The 21,788-nt window shown below is 42.0% G+C and overlaps 1 long non-coding RNA gene across 1 annotated transcript in view; it reads left to right on the top strand.

The window, feature by feature from the left end:
* Positions 1-21,788, top strand: part of LOC101928923 (uncharacterized) — a 487,547-nt gene that overhangs the window by 29,950 nt on the left and 435,809 nt on the right. The window contains exon 3 of the long non-coding RNA XR_001744423.2: positions 13,915-14,002. This is a non-coding gene — a long non-coding RNA (uncharacterized LOC101928923). The remainder of the gene's footprint in view (positions 1-13,914; positions 14,003-21,788) is intronic.

Here is a 21,788-nt window from a genome sequence, read left to right as displayed (position 1 = left end):
ACTGAATCATGGGGTGGGGTCTTTCCTGTGCTGTTCTTGTCATAGTGAATGGGTCTCATGAGATCTGATGGCTTTATAAACAGGAGTTTCTCTGTACAAACTCTCTCTTTGCCTGCTGCCATCCATATAAGATGTGACTTGCTCCTCCTTGCCTTCTGCCATAATTGTGAGGTCTCTGCCACGTGGAACTGTAAGTCCATCAAACCTCTTTCTTCTGTAAATTGCCCAGTCTCAGGTATGTCTTTATCAACAGCATGAGAACAGACTAATACACTGGTGATCTGAAAGGAAAAGCATTTATATAGCAGTGGCTTTCAATGGTGCCTGACTACCCAGCAGAGTCACTGGTGAGATGTTTTTGAAGTACACATGGGGGCAGGAGGGAAGGGAGGTGAACACTCCAGATGTGATGAATCCCAACCTCCCTCCATCTGCATGTTAACAAAACTATGCAAGCTGCTGCCCAGCCACAAGTAGAAACCACTGGACTGCACCTCATACAAGGTGGCCGATGGGATGCCCAAGGCTCGAAGGATATTTGTGGAAGAGACTACTTCATGTAAGTCTCCAAGGTGAGTCAGATGTCAGAATGGAGAATTTCATAGCAGAGAGGGGGTCCAGGGTCCAGCACTACAAGTCATTCAGAATGTTAGGAAACTCTCAACCTGCGTGATGAATGTGTGACAGCTGCATAGGGTGACCTGGGCACTCCTGGTATTGGTTTCTTAGATCTTCCTAAGAGCTTCTTTTTAGTCCTGTTATCAGCCCTACCTCCTGATCCAATTCCATCTAGCCTAAAGCCATTTGCCTAGGAGAGAGGTACATAGTTGGAGAGAATTAACCCCTCTAAGAAAGAGGAGGAAAGCCTTCCTTTTTTTCTATAGGATAATGGGCATAGTTCCACATGCCCTGGTTCTCACAAGTCATCTTTCTTCTTATGAAACATAAAAAAGCTCATGCCTTTAAAGGCTCCCAAGCCCACTGATGGCATCCTGAGGGCCTTTATTTTCTTTTCTCCTGCTCAATTCCCCTCTGATAGAAAACCCTGAGAGCATTTCAGCAGTGAAACTAAAAGAAGTTATCGATCAAGATGGGCTTAGTTATGCTGTAGTAACAAGCAATCCCTGAAACTCAATGGCTAATTACCAGGGTAATTTCTTTCTCTTGTCACATGGCCCTCAAGGTTGGTAGAGAGCTCTGCTCTCTGCGGTTCTTTCTCCAGGATCCAGACTGAAAGATCAGTCATTGGAGAGAAGATGGCATCACTTTGAAAAGAGAATGCTGGGCATGTCTAGTATGGGCAATTAAAGGCTCTGGCATGGAGGGCATGTGTGTCCCAACACATTGGTCTGAAGCAGTCCTATAACCACTTCCACAGCACCCACCAGGGGGTCAGGAAGCTAGGTTTTTCTTTTTTTTTTTTTTTGGTACCCAGAGTGAGAGGAGAACTGGCTATAGCTGAGGACAACTGCTGGCTTCCACAGAAATTGAAAGGTCAAAACAATGTTTGATTTTCAAATACCTGCCTAAGGATGTTTTAATAGCTGTGTAGAAAAAAAATCATGGTCATTGTAAGAAAATACATCACAGAAAGGCCTCCCACTCCAAAGCTACACTGAGGAATTACTCAAACTTTAGCCTCGGAAGTGGAATTTCTTTTCTAAAGTTTATGATATTGGGTAAATGGAGAAATTACTGATGATGGCTTGTTTATTTATCTATTTTATCTGTCTAAAATTTGGGTAGATAATTCTTGCATTTAAGAACAAATGGGTGGACTTGGGTTTTTGGATGTTTGATTGTATTTCTGCTCCATGCGGGTGGGAACTGTTCTCAATTTGTAATTCTCACATCCTGACTGCTGACTGAACTGTGTCTTGTGTAGAATAGTCCATCTATCCATATTGACTGGAATAAGCATGGAATAAAGACTGGGCACTGTTTTTTTTTTTTTTTTTTTTTCAAGACAGAGTCTCACTCTGTCACCCAGGCTGGAGTGCAATGGCGTGGTCTCAGCTCACTGCAACCTCTGCCTCCCAGGTTCAAGTGATTCTCCTGCCTCAGGCTCTGGAGTAGCTGAAATTACAGGCACGAGCCACCAGGCCTGGCTAATTTTTGTATTTTTAGTAGAAACGGTGCTCTACCATGTTGGTCAGGTTGGTCTTGAACTCCTGACCTCATGATCTGCCTGCCTCAGCCTCCCAAAGTGCTGGGATTACAGGTGTGAGCCACCATGTCCAGCCAAGCACTGGTTTTATAACACCTTGGCATATCTCCCAAGTATTTCTGAGGAAGTTGTGAACATCTCAAAACAAAATTAATTTCAAATGATTTTCATTTAGAAAATAACATGACACTTCTGGTAATGTCACAATTTCTAACAGTAAAACCATACATGTATGGCATTCTTGAGATGATTCCACCCTTAGAATTCTCTTGAACACTAGAATAAAATGTGTATTACATCTTTGGTAAGAGTGTTGTCAATTAGATTCTTGCCTATGTGGGGGCATATCACCACACAAGGTATAATATTAGGTCTTGATCACATAGTATATAGTATTTTCTAGGTTGTCACTTTTCTTACTTGGAAATATTTCTGGAATTGTCCGTTGGTAGCAATCTATTTTTGTTAATTATTTAGAAAGTTCTATCTAAAAGAAATGCAGTTTGCAAGGAGAAGGAATGAGAAGTTTTCTTAAGTCCTTCAGTTTGAATATCATATCTGAAAATCAGTTTACTTGAATATGAGTTCATTGTAACTCAGTTTAGCATTCAGTTTGTGAGCCATATTAAACAAATAAAATAATTTTCTTTTTATTTTTTAGTTATTTTTCTGGTTGAGATAGAGTCTCACTCTGTAGCCCAGGGTTGAGTGCAGTGGCACGATCTCGACTCACTACAACCTCCACCTCCCGGGTTCAAGTAACTCTCTTGTCTCAGCCTCCTGAGTAGCTAGGACTACGGGCATGCACCACCATGCCTGACCAATTTTTTAATATTTTTAGTAGAGACGGGGTTTCACCATGTTGGCCAGGCTGGTCTCAAACTCCTGACCTCAAGCAATCCACCAGCCTTGGCCTCCCAAAGTACTGGGATTACAGGCGTGAGGCATTGTGCCCGACCAGAACAAATGAAATAATTTTCATTCATCAGGTTTTGTTTTGATTTCAGTTCTTCTTGCCTTTCAGTATTCTTAAAGAATATTACTATTCTTATAATATGCCTTTTTGCATTTCATTATATTCTTCTCTCTTAATACAAGATGTTGCTTTCGAAATGCGCTCACAGTTCCCCCAGCACCTAGTCGCACTAATGACTTCTTTCTCCTACCCCCAAGCATAGGGTTTGTCATGGCCATTGTTAAATATTAGGGACAATTGCCCAGTGACACCGAATTGGGGCCTATCTAGCTTTTCCTCTCTGCTTTGGCCCAGACAGAACAGTGATGCTGAATGGCAGCCCGTTAGTCCTTAGAGCCATTGACACAGAGAGAAGAGATTGCACAGAAGCCAGTTCTTTCTTACCTTGTCATTGTTCCCTGACCATAGGCTTTCTGAGATTAGAAATAACTGATTCTTTTAAAGAGAATGCCTGCATTAACCAAATATAAAGATATGTAGCAAATGCTACATTTGCAGTCATCATAAAGCTGAATGAAAAAAGAAACACTGCAAACATACTGAAACAATTAAGCAATGTTCGTTCCTAATTTTAGGCTGGGAAGAATATCCTTTGTGCACTGTATAGTTGGTAAGACAACATTCTCAGGCCCACTTTTTAGTTAGTTACCAACTCCTAGAAGCCAGTGGAAAATCACAGTCTTTGATGTGTAAAATAACTGAGAAAAGGGGTGTAGAGCCTTATAAAATACCTGAGCTTCATCTGGACCAGCCAGGAGCAAGACTTGAAATCCTCTTGCTGAGGAAAATGAAGGAAAGCATACTTGCCTTTTGAGGCACAAAATAAAAGAAACCTATAAAATTTGTGTGGCACAGTGTCCCAGAAATCAATTATGTAATTTTGTACAATCATATCAGGTAGAGTATCAACCCATTACTGAAACTCGGAGCTTTCAAACCTAATGGAGACTATTTGACATTCCTAGGCGAGCTGCCAAAGGCCCGTTTCCAATTGCTACATGACAATTATTGACACAGACATGCACAGGCAGGGAAGGGTTTTCAAGGAAATAATGTCAATAATTTTCTACTGTGTTTTAAGCTAAAAATCAGTAGAAGGTGAGTGACTAGAATCCTCATGGAATCCATATCTACACATCCCTTGGGTCTTGGAAAAGAATTCTTTACTGTGCAGAATAGCAATGGCAGTAATAGAGAAAGTGAATATCCACATGAAATTTAATTAGGTTGGAAATGGAGAGTTGAGCTGTACAAGCTGGAAATGTTCAGAATTGTACTCATCTACAATCCCTAGGTATTGAAGACTACACCCCTCAAGTTCCTCTTTACTCCATCCACTCTGCTTATCATGGCCAGGCTGATCTTTTTTTTTTTTTTTTTTTTTTTTCCTGAGACGGAGTCTCGCTCTGTTGCCCGGGCTGGAGTGCAGTGGCTCGATCTCGGCTCACTGCAATCTCCATCTGCCGAGTTCATGCCATTCTCCTGCCCCAGCCTCCCGAGTACCTGGCACTACAGGTGCCCGCCACCTTGCCCAGCTGATTTTTTATATTTTTAGTAGAGATGGGGTTTCACTGTGTCAGCCAGGATGATCTCCATCTCCTGACCTTGTGATCCACCCACCTTGGCCTCCCAAAGTGCTGGGATTACAGGCATGAGCCACTGCGCCCGGCCGGCCAGGCTGATCTTTTACAACTTGGATCCCATCTGGCTACTCTCTGCTTTGGAGCTCACAATGGTAACCTTCTGTTCACTTTTCAGCCCACATCCTAGTGTTTGGGTCTGTTTCTTTATGTGGTCTTACCTGCCATTGTTCCCAATGAATCGCTCCCCAAATTCAGACTGTTCTCCTGAATTCATCTCATATCTAATGAGCTTATTCTCCCTTCTGTGCTGACTCTCATCCTCTCCCCTGGTTCTGAAATATCTTCTCCATATACTCAATTTGCCAGTCTAATTCTGTTTACTTTTTGAAGTCGTGCTTGAATCTAGTTGCCTCATATTACTCATAGAAGCTCTTGTTTACTGAGGGTCCATTAAGGCCCAGGGCTGTAATAAGGGTGATTTGTATGTTATATCTATGTTTTTGATACATCTGTCTTTCTCTGATAGGTGCATAAATATACTGATGCAGGCCATAAACAGGAAGTTGTTTTCTGCCCACAGATGAAGTATGTTTCTTATTGCGCAATCAAATGACATTTTTTTTCTTAGAGACAAACATAATAAACATGCATCATAGGCATTACTGTTCCCACTTTAGAGGCAAAGAAACTGATGTTCAAAGGTATTGAGTTTCTTGTGTAAATTCATTGAGGTAATCAAATGAGATTCAAATACAGGCCTCTCTGATCCTAGAACCCACGTGAGGTTGTGCAGGATTCTCTGTTTCCAGCATCCAATCATCTCTCTCTCTCTGAAGTTTCCCGAAACTTAAGGAGTAGTGGTGATGGCAACAGAACAGGGATAACAGCTAGAATTTGCTGTGAGCGACTTAACATGTGGCTAACGCTGCTCCCTTCTTGCCATCCCTGATCTCCACTGGCTCTCACAACAATTCCAACAAGTTCTCCCTGGTTTTCAGATGAAGAAACCGAGGCACAGAGAATTTAACTAGTCTGCCCAAAGCCAAGCAGCTCATAAGGAACAGAGTTGGGGTTCACACTTGGATCTTCCTGACTCCAGAGCTTGCACTCTTAACCCTCTAGTCTTCGCCCTCCCACACAATCCTACTTTCTGGTTGTTGTTCCATGGTCCTGCCTCCACAGCTGGGCTTCTCAAGGCTGGGAACACCCTCCTCTATTTCCCCCACATCCCCACAGTCAGTATTATGTGATGAAAAACCTGCTTTTAGGCACACACTATTTTCCTGTTGAGGCTGCTGTGGAGATCTGGGGTTGGTTTTGTTGGACCATGATGTCCCTCCATGGACCTAAACTCAAGAAGATGCACATTTCCTTCAGTCCAGACCCAGGATCCAAGCATCTTTTTGTGCACTGGTTATGGGAGAGGGTAAAAAGAGGTTAATGAGGCACCTTCCTGTGTCCAAGAGAGACAGACAAGCTTGCCCAGGCTGAAAATGATGAGGAAAATGACCACCAAGGGTCATCATAAGCCAGGCTCAAGGGTCTCATAAGCCATGCTTGGTACCATGTGTGGTCCATCTAGGAAGCTGGGCCCATTACAGGCAGAACTAGCAGTGTTCAGAGCAGGAGGTCTTTGTAAAAACACCTCCTCAAAATGATCAGGAAAGAAAGCAATGTGACTTCTTCTCGTACTTTGCATAAGAAGGCAGATGAAATTGGTTTCTGACTATTATGGAAAACTGTTTTGGGGCATGTGGTGGGGACCACCCAGACGAGGCCCTCCAAGACCTTGTTGTCTAGGGTGATTTATTCCCTTTATTTAGAGATCCAGACAATTAATCATTTATTTATGTGATGATAGGCTTTTGGCTGTTAGACCAGATGCTGTATTACTCTATGAGATGAATAATAGTGGAGAACTATATAACTTATCTATTTTACTTTTTATCTTGGCTTCTAGGAAGTGTAGAACTCAATTTGATACTCAATTTCTATGATTACACATAGCCTAGGTTTTTGGTACATCCACCTTTCTCTCTTAGATACCTAAATAATTTGATACATGCAATAAATAGGGAGCTGTTTTCTGCCCACAGTATGCCTCTTATTGTGCAATTAAATGACCTTTTTTCCCCTTAAAAGATTGAGTTCTGCCAGCTCATGGAACATGCTTTTTCATCGATGATTTCCAGAAGAGAGAAAATACCAAGGACCTTCTTGGACAAGTTTTGTTCAATTACATCTTTAATCCTGTTGCATAATTTGTAAAATTTAAGACACATTTAAATTGAATCTAGCGATCTGTATATAGTGGGAATTCTAGCCTGAGCCTACCTTGGGCTTCGGATCTCTTCAAACTTGCTCCATGGATGATCACCTGAGCCCGGGGAGGCCCAGGCTGCAGTGAGCCATGATTGCACCACTGCACTCCAGCCATGACTGCACCACTGCACTGACAGAGGAGACCTGTCTCAAAAAAACAAAACAAAACAAAACAAAACAAAACAAACCTCCATGGGTTGGTGGGGGTGCTGCTAGATGCTGATTTCCTGGAGGAGTTGTAGTTTGGCAGAGAATACCTGGGGTCAAGAGGAAGGGGGAGGATGTCTGTGTCTAAAATTGGTCCTTACTGTAGCCCAGTGGATTTGTTTTCCAGACTGGAGTTTAAGGGCTGTTTCAATGAGGGACTTTATGATACACAAAGAGGCAAACAGTGTTGGTGTTTATGGATGAGTGGTACCAGAGGTTGAAGGAGAGGCGCTTCCCAAGATTGGATCTCAGTGTAGTCTTGGTTCCTTGAGGACCAAGGACCTTTAATTCAGACACTGTGGACACAGGCAGAGAGGCATGAGAGAGAAGGCTTTTCAGGGGAAGCAGACATTGACAAAGAAGGTCTGAGCAGCTACCGTCGTGACTGAGGAAAACACTTGAATGATGTCTAGGGTGTTGAGTACAAATAAGGGTGATTGTGAGACAGACAATGGGACTCCAGAAAACCCAGGTGAGGACTTGGAGAGGGATGGGAGGTTCTGTAGTAGACAGATGCATATGTATGGCTCCTATGTCAAGTTAGTACTTTATTCATTCTTGTTTTTATTAATAATGTGACCATATTAACATCCACTGGCTGCTGAGGCTTGGGACAACCAGGGTGACACCTGTGTTGTATGAAAGCATGGAGAGGCTAGTGCCTGCGGGGACAGGATCTCGGCTTCTCTCTCTCACTCCGTGTGTGCTCTCTAGAGCTTGCGTGGCTCTCATGACCTGAGCACAGATGAGTCACTGGACTGGCTACCTCACCTGTAAAATGAGAGATCTGGACCACATCGTCTCTAAGAACATTTCCATTTCTAAAATTGTAAGATTCCATTATTTGGTACAAACTAGGATGCCAGAAATACATGAAGATGAAACAAAGGGAGTGTATGAGTCAGTCTGGCCTGCTATAACAGAATATCATGGACCGGCTGGCTTAAACAACAAACATTTCTTTTTTTTTCTTTTTTCTTTTTTTTTGAGACAGAGTCTGGCTCTGTCACCCAGGCTGGAGTGCAGTGGTGCAATCTCAGCTCATTGCAACCTCTGCCTCCCGGTTCAAGCGATTCTCCTGCCCCAGCTTCCCGAGTAGCTGCGGTTATAGGCATGTGCCACCACGTCCCACTAATTTTTGTATTTTTAGTAGAGACAGGGTTTCACCATGTTGGCCAGGCTAGTCTCAAACTCCTGACCTCTAGTAATCCACCCGCCTTGGCTTCCCAAAGTGCTGGTATTACAGGCATGAGCCACCGCGCCCAGCCAGACATTTTTTCTTATAGTTCTGGAGGCTAGGAAGTCCAAGATCAAGGCTCCAGCAGACTTGGTGTCTGGTGAGGGCCCCCTTTCTGGTTTGTAGATGGACATCTTGTCTGTCCTCACATGGCTGAAGAGAAACAATGATCTCTGTTGTGTCTCTTCTAACAAAGACTCTAATCCCACCATGAGGGCTTCACCCTAATGACCTAATCGCCCCCAAAGGCCTCACCTCCTGATACTCTCACATTGGGGATTAGGATTTTAACATGTGAATTTTGTGAGAGAGACACAAGCATTCAGTTTATAACAGAGAACAAACAAACGAGTTGGAAATTGAGGCTACTGGTGTGTAGGGGCAGAGAACAGACTGAGTTTTGAGTCCTCAATTCGCCACGGGGACCCTTTGACCTTGAATGGGTTATTTAACACCGCACTCAGCTTGTCAAGCTTACATCCTGAATGCCAATCCTTGCCTCAAACACTTATTGTGAGAATTACGTAAGTGTGTGAATGCGTGTATTCAAACCTCCAGGTGTGTGCTGGCCGTGGTGTATGTATGCAGTGAGGGGTGTGTGTGCTTTTGACTGATGACCACGCACCAGCTTTCTAGACCACATAGGCCTCTGGGACCTGGGGATGCTGGAGCCTCTCAGCTGTTAGAAACAGAATGGAAAGGCACAGTCCTTCTTTGAGTCAGAAGACCTGGGTTTGAGAATTACCTCTGTAGTTTACCACAGGAGATACAGAATAGTTCAGAGTCTGTCTTCTTCATCTATAAAATAAAGCACTTGGATTCTATATATAAGCTTCAACATTTTTTTCTAAGTTGTGTGATTCTAAGATCTGTAAGCTACTAACCTCTTTGATAGAGGAGCTTTTCTTTCTTTCTTTTTATTTTTTTGAGATGGAGTTTCGCTATTGTTGACCAGGCTAGAGTGCAATGGCCAATCTCGACTCACTGCAACCTCCACCTCCCGGGTTCAAGCAATTCTCCTGCCTCAGCCTCACAAGTAGCTGGGATTACAGGCATCCCCCACCATGCCTGGCTAATTTTTGTATTTTTAGTAGAGATGGGTTTTCACCATGTTGGCCAGGCTGATCTCAAACTCCTGACCTCAGGGTGAGCCAGCCGCCTTGGCCTCCTAAAGTGCTGGGATTACAGGTGAGAGCCACCACGCCTGGCCAGGAGCTTTTCTTTCTAATCTTTCTACTTCCCACTACGCCTTGCACATAGTAGGTGTGGTAAATACTAAATGAATGACCAGTGAGATGGCTCTGGTAATTTAATTCTGCTGTCCTCAAAAGAGGAAGCAAACCTCACTTAGAACCGAGGGATGCAAAACCGTAATTCTCTGAGTGATGAGCTATCTGAGTCATGCTGTTTCAAAGATTCGGGCTTGTGGCCTAAACTGATAACAAATTCTTTCCATTAAGAAATTACTCTCTCTGGTGAACCTGACTTTTGAAGCAGACAATGCAGACACCGGCAGAGCGATTAGGTCTGCTCATAAAATGATCGCAGCCAGGTTGGACCATTCAAACAAAAGCCCGGCACACCATAGTGATACCAACAGAATATCGCTAAGACCCGCAGTCGGGTGGGAGGCTGGAGAAGAGCATAGCTAGACATTTCCTTGGTGCATGCCTGAGTCTCTCTAATTCAAGGTTCAGAAACCAAATTTGCTACATGACGATTTTTGAGTAACTATTCACCTGTAAGCACCTAGCTGAAGCATGAGGGTGTCTACATGAAGGGAATCTCACTGTTGAGAACAGTCTTTATGCTTAAGTGGTAATTCACAATCCAACAGATACACAAAATGTCACTCTGTGTCTCCCTGGCACATAAGAATGAGTTGGATGTGACAGAGCCTGAGACCCTTGCTTTTTTTTTTTTTTTTTCATCTGCTTTTGGGAAATGTGTTGGTCAGGCTCCAGCGGGAGAGCAGAATCTGGAGAGAGATGAGTGTGGGTGGTTTAGAGGGAGAGGCGACAGTGGGAAAGGTGGAAAGTGAGGAGGGAGAAAAAGCACCTTTGTAGCATCGTCTCCTGGCCTTCTTTCTGGATGACATTCTTCCTGTCTTTTCTCCTCTAGAGAGATTTTTCGAGGCTGCTTATATCTGGCTGTCCAGGTTTTTTCTTCTCTTTTGGAATGGGAGGGAGGAAAGAGGCTTTTCTCTTCCCCATCCAGAGTCTAGTGACTCCTTTTCTCCTGGTGCAGTGGCAGGGCTCCCAGCCTATCATGGAGCCTGGGCTTTGCCAGGGTCCCTTTGGGATTTAGTAAGTTTCTATCATGTGAATGTACAGATGCCACAGAACCAGAAGAGTTACGTGTCTCTGGTTGGTTGTTTTTATTTTTTTATTTTTCATATCACTGGGGAAAAGTGCACCTTTAAGGTTTCATCCAAAGCAAAGAATTGTTGCTGTTGACTTTTATCCACTTCCTAAGCACTGCATTTCTTTCAGCCTTCATCAAAGGCATAATCCTTCATTCAGAATCTTTTTCATCACTTTAAATAGTCCTCCCGCCTTTGTTGAAGTTTTCTGCCTTTAGAGAGACGAGGTCAAATCTGCTCCAACAGTGGAAATAAAATGGGGGAGGAGAACTAGCTGTAACCTTTGTGCTTAAAACTTGAAGATGGTGTACAATTTTTTTTTCAAAAAGAGAGCTACTGTTTGACTATTCTGATCTCTTAAGATGCATCTGAAAAAGATACTATATTTTAAACAGAAAATGTTAAGAAAAAGTCTGTGCTAACATATATATTTCAACAAAGTTTTTAGAGAGAAAAAATGATCTCCAAATTGTTTGAGAGAGTCAGCCTGGTTCTATTATATCTGTGTAGCAGCAGGGTATAACAAAGCTAAAGATTTAAGGCAATTTTGACACCTTAAAGCAGAACTGCACAGGCTTTTAAACCCAAAGAGGATTCAGCCTGCTCACTTATTACTTTCCACATCTTCAAAAGGACAATGTCTCTTTTTTAATCTTTTGGCTTTGCTGTGAAACCATGGGAAGTTATTGACTTTACAGGCACTTTAAGTATACAATCAGGCAGAAAAAGGACATTGGTGCACTCGGGGGCTGCGAGTTCAAATTCTCATCTCTTTGTGGCACTCTCCTCCCCGCTCAGACAGAATTGAAAAGGGCAGAACAAACAGTGAGGGGCTTCCATGGGTTTTGATGGGGGCCCTCTCATTGAGTCACAGGCACCTGAAACCGTTCGGCTAAAGACAGGCTCCTTTCTCGTTTCTGTTGTTATTTTTTAATTTGACAGCTCCCAGGGTTTCTTCGGATGGTATGCTCAGAAATGCCATACTTCCTTGTAGCCCCTGCAAGCTAAAATAATGAACAAGCAATTAAATCTCATGCTTGAGGGCCTGTGCTGATTGCTTGCAGGAAAGGGGCACAGCCCAGCCTTGTTCATTGCATATGGGGCACAGGGCCTGGCTGTTTCCCTTGGAGGGTAAGCACCTGCTGCCAGGCTGTGTCAGGGGCAGGCTGCAGGGGCGCTTGGTTGCTAGAAGAAAGGGACTTGATGGGAAACAAAGGTCCACCAAGTCACCTGTATCCAAAATGGGTGCTGGCTGATGTTGACCTCCTAAGGTCCTGTCAAGATTGTTATTTGTTAGCAGAGCACAATCGGCTCTGACTCCAGGTTTTCTTCTTTATTATCCTTTGATGAATTAATGTGTACTAGGAGCATGTACATAGGCCCTTTATTTTTTATTAAATAGGTATTCTTGGTTTTGGCTAAAAAGTTTAAGTTAAAAAATTAATTTAAAAAGTAATTAATAACTTAATAAATCGCTTTTTAATAACTCACTATATACATATTGAAATTCTACTGGGGCTTGCCACTGGGAATTCATGGATAAGCAATATATAGCTATGTCCTGCCGTACTGGATTATACATTCTTGCACGGGAGACTGCCATTGATGAAAAGGCCCACATTGTCATACAACAGCAAATGTGCTAAATGCCCTAAAAGAAAATCAAGCGGTGAGGTGGGAATGCCTAGCAGATGGTCTAAACTGGGGTAAGGGGTGATAGACTACCATCCTGAAGATGTGAACTTGAACTGAGGCTAAAGGGGAAGGAAGCGAGGTAGTACAGGGACAGGAAAGCCATGGGAGATGAGGCTGGCCGGGAGCCAGGGTCAGGTCCTGTGAGGTCATGTACATCTCCCTAAGGATTTAAAAACAGAAACAGGTTCATGCCTGTAATCCCAACACTTTGGGAGGCTGAGGCAGGCAGATCACCTGAGGTCAGGAGTTTGAGACCAGCCTGACCAACATGGTGAAACCTTGTCTCTACTAAAAATACAAAAAAGTTAGCTGGGCATGGTGGTGTGTGCCTGTAATCCCAGCTACTTGGGAGGCTGAGGCAGGAGAATCTCTTGAACCCAGGAGGCAGAGGTTGCATGAGCCGAGATTGTGCGATTGCACTCCAGCCTGGGCAACAAGAGCAAAACTCCATCCCCCGCGCTGACACACACACACAAAAACCAGATGAATGGGACCTAATTAAACTAAAAAGCTTCTACACAGCAAAGGAAATAATCAATAGGTTGAAGAGACAGCCTGCAGAATGGGAGAAAATATTTGCAAACCATACATATGAAAGGGGCTAATATCCAAAATATATAAGGAAATCAAACAACTCAATACTAAGAAAACAAACGCTAGAATGGCTATTATTAAAAAGACAAAAACGAACAGATGTTGGTGAGGATATGGAGAAAGTGAACTCTTCAACACTGCTGGTGGGCATGTAAATTAGTACAACCTCTGTGCAAAACAGTATGGAGATTTCTCAAAGAACCAAAAATGAGAAATACAATTTGATTCAGCAACTCCACTACTGGGCATCTACCCCTAGGAAAAGAAATCAATATATCAAAAAGATACCCGTACTTTTACGTTTATTGCAGCACTATTCACAATAGCAAAGATATAGAATCAACCTAAATATCCTAAATTGGATGAAGACATTGTGGCATATAAACACAATGAAATACTATTTAGCCATAAAAAAGAATGAAATCATGTCTTTTGCAGCCACATGGATGGAACTGAAGGCCATTATCTTGAGCAAATCAACCCAGATACAGAAAGACAAATACACATATTTCCACTCATAAGTGGAAGTGAAAAAATGTGTACAAATAGCCATAGAGATTGGAATGATAGACAATGGAGATTTGGAAGGATGAGGGAGCAGGAGGGGGTGGAGGATGAGAAATTACTTAATGGGTACGATGTGCATTATTTGGATGATAAATATGTAAAAGCCCTGACTTAACCATCATGCAATCTATGCATGTAACGAAAGTGTTCTTGAACCCCATACATTTATATAAATAAAAAAAAGATTTTAATTTTGACCCTTAGATTAATGCAGAGCTGTGAGAAGACAGAAGCAGTGGAATGACACCACAACATCTGTGCATTGAGAAGGGCACTCTGCTGCGGCATGGCAGTGAGTACAATGAGATGGCTTAGGAAATAGATGGATGTACCTCAGATTGGGGTGGTCCAATGAGGATGTAGTTCCGAAGGCATATTTCTGAGCTCTTTAGGAGGGAGAATGGACAGGGCTTGTGATGGCTGTGGTTGGAGGGAAGGTGAGGGGTCTGGGATGGCTCTTTGGTGTCTGGCTCGCACTGCTGAATGAGTGGCGGTGCCACTAGCTGAGAAGGAGAACATGGGAAGCCAGCTAGATTTAGGAGAGGACTTGAACTTCATTTAGACCTGTTGAGTGGGAGATACCCCCAAAAGGAGGTATGGTGTAAATAGTTGCCTATAAAGGTCTGATATTCAAATGAAGTATTGGAAGCATCTGAAAATGGAAGCTGCCAGTATGGATGAGCTGTCTTAAAGAGAGGCTACGAAATGAGAATGAAGACCAGGACTGAGATACCAGAACTCCAGTCTGTGTGGGCCATAGCCCAGAGACTTAGGAGAGCCCAGAGCAGGAGGAAACTTGGAGGGTGGGGCAGCTCAGGGTGAGAAAGGCTGCTTCAGAAAGGAGGGCCGGCCGGGGGTGGGGTGGGGTGGGGAGGGGGATGCCTTGGAGACCACCAAGGTGATGATTCACTCAAGGATGGGTGTGGGCTCATCCTTGAAAACACTTGTGAGGTAGAGATTATTATTATCTTCCTTGAATAGATCAAGGAACTGAAGCTCAAAGAACTTAAATAACTGGCTTCGAATCACACACTAAATAGGTGGTGGAGCAGAATTTGAAGCTGGTTCTCTAGGTCCAGATCCCCCGCGCCAGCCCTGTCTCTCTGTAGCTTTATTTCTTTCACATTCAAGCAATTTTGTTTTCTAGAAAAGGAACAACATAATGGTATTTTGGTTTGTTAAATAATCATGATGAGAAAGAGAATGACAACTGACATTTAATGCGAGGCTTATAAAATGATTAAAGGTTTTGAATACTGTATGATAAATAGGCTTTTAAAACCCATGTATCTGACCTCTTATTAGGCTGTTTATTTCAAAACTGACAGTGCAGCTAAAACAATTGCTGAGGGACTGCATATATCTTCTGCCTCAATTACTTTCAGAGACAATTTAGTCAAGATGATTTTTCTGAAGTTAGCCAATGTAATTCAAAACCAGATAGGTAAAAGAGAGGCCAGTCATTGAGGGTGCACATGGAATATCACATTAGGGACTAAGAGAATTAAAATGAACTGAGGATTTCGTTTTTCCCGTCTTTATGATGATCAGAAATTGAGGCAAAAGGATTAAGTATATGTCTGTTGATTTCAAAACACACTGCATGGAAAATTCAACTTCTTCAAATGGTATGTGGATTTGGAAAACTCAAACATGGACTGGAGTGGGTTGGGCTCTAGGGGTTTTAGATATTCTGTTGTATGTGGTAGTATGGATAATGAGAAGTTGATGAGTCTGAGAGTATATGAGTCGCTGGCCGGGAAGTAATAAGATGATTCAGATTGGGAGTTGTGAAGGTCTACCTCGTTCTCTGTGGGGGCGGTTGCTAGAAAGGAAACTATTTAAACACTTCAAGGAAACAAAACCCTGAAAACACATAGAACCTGAAGAGTGAGGAGAAAGAGACTGGGTCCCCAGCAGGGGACTTGCTCTTTTTGAGGGCCCTGTAATGCCCTGGGCTTAACTCTATCTCTGCCTTTCCGCCATGTGCTGTAATGGTCTGATAATTGGTCTGCTTCATAGGAGCATGAACGTCTTATGGCAAGGACTGTGTCTTACTCACCTTTGTGTCGATTACTTCAGTGCCTGGATCATAGAAGACGTTCGTTAAATAAACATTTTTTAGAAGGTCGAGCAAGTAAACAAATGTCAGGAAAGGTGCGAATTAGAAAGAAAGCTAGGGAAAGGGAAGGAAGGAGGAAGAAGGGAAGATCTCTGTGCTAGGAGAAGGAGAATTTGGGGAAATCATGTGTTTATGTATGCCCAGAAGAGTATTATTCATGGCTTGAGTGTGAATCTAAGACCTGGACACCTTTTCTGACAGAAAGGTATTACATTCTTCAAAATTAAAAGGAGAAGTTTCCTGAAGAGTTGTTCAGGTGCAAAGAGAAATTCCATCATGAATCCAGCAAGGCGGAGTTGGGTTCTAAGATGACTTGAGCAACACAAATGTATGAACAACCAACAGGAAGCAGAGCCTGTCCAAAGCCTGATTTACTTAGTTAGGCTGAGCTAATTCCATTTGGGAGGTGGCTTTTGTAACACATTTTTGTCCTGAGGTGGCCAAAAAGTTCTTTAGTGCTTTAAAGCTGACAGAGTGTGGGGTAGGAAAATAAAAACAGCCCAGTGGGAATAGATGTCAATGAGGTATGGGAAAAAGACCCTTATTCCAAGGGTAAGATCTCTGGAGATGGGCCTCTTCTCAACCTCATTTTCTTGCTTTGGGCCCTGGGAAGGAGGAGGTCTTAGTCCTCAGCATCTCATGAGATTAAAAGTAAATCTGGGCCGGGCACAGTGGCTCATGCCCGTAATCCCAGCACTTTGGGAGGCCAAGGCGGGTGGATCAACTGAGGTCAGGCATTTGAGACCAGCCAGGCCAACATGGTGAAACCCCCTCTGTAGTAAAAATACAAAAATTAGCTAGGCGTGGTGGCGGGTGCCTGTAATCCCAGCTACTCAGGAGGCTGAGGCAGGAGAATTGCTTAAAAACCCAGGAGACAGAAGTTGCAGTGAGCTGAGATAGTGCCACTGAACCCCAGCCTGGGTGACAGAGGGAGACTCTGTCTCAAAAAAAAAAAAAAAAAGTAAATCTGTTCAGTCGCGGAGAAGAAAAGAAAAGTCAAACCTGGAGGACCAATTTCTTGACGACCAGTCTTATTTGCTTATTTATAGCAATAGCCCTTTCCTAATTGATTCATGGGAGTCAAGGATATGGCTCACACAGTGCATTCTTGAAGGTGTAATTTCCCTTGTGACTTCGCAGAAGACATGATCTCTGAAGCTGGGCCTCCGACTGTCCTGAAGTTCAGAAACAGCTGAAGGATCATTACTTTTTCCTTTCCTCTGTGGGCCAGGAAGCTCTCTGGTTAAGAAAACTTTGCCCACCAGGGACATTAGTTAATTAACTAATTAATTAAATTTATCAATTAACTAATTAATTTGATTAATTAAAGAGGCATCATTGTAATTTACTATATTTCATATAAATTAGATTGTTGAAGGAGTTGCCTTTTTTTGATTCCTTGATAGTATTTGCCACTCCATGGTGTAAGATGATAGGTTAAAAATCAGTCAAATAGGGAATGATGAAGATCAAAATAAGAGTCATGGAGTTTAAACTTATGCACATCAAAGTAGAGAAAATATGTGCTTTTATCTGAATCTCTTGCTATGAAGCTTTGGGAGTGTTTCTATAGATAACATTTTAATGGATTTTTGATTCCAAGTTTTCAGCGTTACAAAAGGATGGCTTTTAGATTTTTCTTCGGTGCAGGGGAAGAAATGAAAGGCAAGACTTGGTTCTCTGCACTAATTAAGAAGTAAAGGGCTAGAGAAAAAGCCAGGCAGCATCTATAAAGGGTTTGGAGTCAGACAGCTGCTTGTACCCTGAACTCTGACAAGTGTCTTAATCTAAGTCTATAAAATGGGTATATCTCAAAGGAGGCTTGTGATGAGGAAATGAGATACGGCATCTATTGTGCCTGGCACCGTTATCCATACTAGCGCACAGAGGTGCTCAATAAGTGTTGGCTGTTATTTTTCTTTTTTCACGTTATTAAAATTTGTTATTAGAATATAATGTAACTTTCTTTCCTTATCCCTATGACTCAGAAGTTTACAATAAAATATTTTCATACTTCCCTTTATATATGATTTCCCGTCTGGTTTTGCTGACATTAGTTGACTACATGGATAGATGTGATAAAAGTTTCTCAGACACTGCATATTCTGGAAAAAAAAAAGTACCACACCTTTGGATATCCTAGAGTTTACTGGAGATTAAATATATTAGAAACTCTTAAAAGACAGTCATGCTTTTAAGAAATTCATCCTCTGGTAATTTTCTTATTCAAGACATACTTTTAGGTTCCAACTATGTCTGTAATTTGCATTTATCTTTAAAGAGACTTTTTTTTTTTAATTTCCTTGAATGATTTTTTAAAGCGCTCCTCAGGAGTGCATCATCCAGAATTTCCTATCTTGCTGACGTTATGTTTTATGCAAGAGTTTCTGGGCTACTCAAATTTCTTTATCCTGTGTTGCTAATGGATTTGCTGTTGATCACCTTCACGTTATGTGACAGCTGCTTGAGGAATGGGCCTTTATTATAGAAAGGCTTGACAATAATTTGGGTCATATTTTGGAAGGATACTTTCATTTGTCCCTGGTACACATTAAATTTGTCTGAGTAGATGCTCAAGGTTTGGGAACTGTTTTTAACTTTCAACAGTTTCCAGTCTTAAGTTCCACCAGCAGGTTCCCGAGTAGGCTGGTATATACCTATTTTATCCCTCTACTGTTCCTGTATTTTTTTTCACCACTATTCAAAGTAGCTTTTAAGATTTGAGAAGAAAAGAGTCAGTGGACCACGGTGGGCATTGGGGGGTGGAAAATGCCAACTTTCTGGGTTACCATTTGTGGTTTATTTGCTCTTTTTGTGCATGTCTTTGTTTCCCAGTGATTAAAACTTGGTTTAAATGTTGCTACTTATCCACCTGTCAAGGATGGTGTGAGAATGAGTAATAATATCTGAGCCATATTTTTGCTCCTTAGTAGAAAGGTGCTATATAAATACAAAATGTTATTTCATTAAAAATACTTGTATGATAACAGCATATGTTAAATTCAATTTCCTTGACCAATTTTATAAATACATTTTGCTGTTACAATATGGTTGTTTTTGTGGTGAGTATGTGTGTATCCTACACTCTGTGTTCTATTTTCCGCCTGGGTGGTATAACATATCAAATGTTTAAGAAAAATAAAGACACATTCTAGAGAGATCATGAAGCTACTGCTAAATGTTATTTTTAGGGGGATTTCAAATAGATATTAGTGAGATACCTACTGAATTATTGAGGATACGAACTGTACAACCATGTAATAGGACATTATAAATAGGTAGGCTGGTATATACCTGTTTTGAGTAAACAGTGTATTTTTCTTATCAATCTTAGTTCTATGTTGGTGGTTTGCAGCCCATGAGACAGAAGCATTTTATGGTTAAACCTAAGATCCTGGAATTCAGTGGCCAGACATGATGCTTGTTGGCATCACATAGTGGGGCATTGGAATCCATGTTCAGCCCAGGGAAAGGACATCCCTTCCTGTCTCAGACCATCCATTGGGAAACTTCTCCTTTTGCTGAAGAGGAGGATTTGAATCCCTCCCATCACTACAGCAAGCCCAGAGAATGCAGAGTTGGCAGATACATGGAGACATGGCACCATTACAGCACAGTGTGGTCATTTTTGATAATTTTTTCTAACGTAGTATAGACCTTCAGGCAAGTCATAACAAAGGCCCCCTGCTGCCACTTTCTCCCACCCACATTTTTCTCAGCAATTACTTGGCTTATTACCTCACAGGTAAGAGATACCTCCATCTGCACCACTCACCAAATTATTTGCAACTCTACCTATTCTAAAACACTTTTTAGTTTGAAATAATTTTAGAATAAAGAGTTTCTAAGATAGTACAGGGTCTTCCCATACACCCTTCACCCAACTTCCCCTAATGTTAACATCTTACATAGTATGTTTATCAAAACCAAGACATTGACAATGGTGCAATATTGTAAGTGAACTACCAACTTTATTTGGACTTCTCAACGTTTCCTGTTAATGTACTTTTTCTGTTCCAGGACCCTTTTTGGGATATCATGATACCTTTATTCATCATGTCTCCCTAGTTTCCACCAATCTGTGATAGCTTCTCTGTATTTTCTTGTCTTTCATGACTTTAGATGTTTTGAAGAGTAGTGGTCAGGTGTTTTGTAGAACGCCCTTAATTTGGGTTTATCTGGTGGTTTCTCATAAACATTCTGAGGCTGTGGATTTTGGAGAACACCACCACAGAGGTGACAGGCCCTTCTCATTGTATCATGTCAGTGGGTGTATAATATCAGCATGACTGCAGGTAACATTAACTTTGATCACCTGGCTAATGTGATGTCTGTTAGGTTTCCCCACTGCCAAGTAACAATTTTTCCCTTTCTGTCATCTATTCATAAAAGCAGGTCACTAAGTCCAGCCTATACTTGAGGAAAGGGCCATTAAACTCTACCTCCTGGAGGGAGGTAAAGAGTATCAAAGTCATGTTTTAAAACCATAAGAGTGATTAGTAAATTTAGAAAGGGATACAAATATGATGCAAATATCCTGTTACTTCTTAAAGTTCAACCACTAATTTTAGCAAGTATCAATTAGTCTTGCATGCAGCAAGGATAGCTGTGGTGTTCCAATGACAATTCTCTATTTCTCCGATTCCCTCTACGTTTATTGATTGGATTTCTTATGTAAGAAAGATTGGTCTTTCTTCTTTGGTTTATTTATTTGTTTATTTATATCAGTATGTGCTCATGGATATTTATTTTATTCTTTAGGTGATAATTCAATACAATCGAAATTTATTATGGTGCTCAAATTATATTAACTCTGGCCACTGGGAGCTTTTTCAGATAGATTCTTGGGTCCTTTTGACATGCCTTCATCTTAGAAACACATTCTTGGGGGGTACTTTCTTACTTTCTGATAACATAACATATTCCAGGATCACCTTGTATTTTCCTTGCCCTGGCCTTAGAATCATGGGGAGTCCATTTGTGAAAGCTGAGGCCTCCTACTGGCAGCCACGCTGGGCAGCCATCTTGAAATTATGCAGGGAAGGCCCACCAGCCTCTGAGATGGCTGCTTCCTTTCCTGCTGACCTCCTGACTGCAAACTCATGAGAGACTTTGAGCCAGAACCACTCCATTGAGTGGCTCCTGAACTCCTGACCCAAAGCATCTGTGACATATAAAGTGTTTGTTGTTTTAAGCCACTCCATTTGGGGGTAATTTATGACACAGTGATAGATATTGAGGTCAGATTTTGGTGATTGGAAGTGGTTGCTTCTGTAACGAACACCTAAAATGTGGACGTGGCTTTGAGACTGGACAGTAGAGGAGAAAATTTGAAGAGCTTTGAAGAAGTTGTTCATAGAAACATGATGGCCTGGAGGCTGTGGTGAGGACTTGAAGGAAAGTGAGGAAGACCCATCTGGAAACTGCACTTGTGTAGAGGCAGGACATTTAGCCATGGTGCCGCCTGTGTTACCAAGACCGCAAAAAGTGTGCCTAATGAAGGGGGTTGCCAATAGCTTAGGGGATTTCAAACAGACCTTGAAGGTGCCTTCTGGCTCCTTTTTGTTGCTCACACTAAAATGCAAGAGGAGACAGAGAAGTGAAAGGAAAGACTGTTAATCACAAAGGAGGAAGACTTGATGGTTTTGAAAATTCCCTGCCTCTCCAGGTGGGAAAGAATGCTGAAATGAAGCAACGACATCCAGGCAAAGATGAATCTGGGGAACTACCAAGAAATCGTTCTCTAGCCAGCTGCAATAGCCAGAAGAATGTCCATACCTATCTCCTACCTTCCAGTCTCATGCAAGCTCATCTCATTATTAGATCTAAATTTGCAGAACCTTAGCTGCAAAGAAGTGAGGGAAATAAAGTTACTTGTTGGGCAACCGTGTACATTTAGCTAAGTGCTAAAAGTCTGTTACATGAAAGAAGGGGAAACATATTTTAGGGACAATTA

The sequence above is a fragment of the Homo sapiens genome, chromosome 6 (assembly GCF_000001405.40).
Source record: "Homo sapiens chromosome 6, GRCh38.p14 Primary Assembly".
In the NCBI taxonomy this organism is placed as follows: domain Eukaryota; kingdom Metazoa; phylum Chordata; class Mammalia; order Primates; family Hominidae; genus Homo; species Homo sapiens.
The sequence above is the reverse complement of the archived record's forward strand: the minus strand, read 5'-3'. Positions and strand labels throughout refer to the sequence as shown.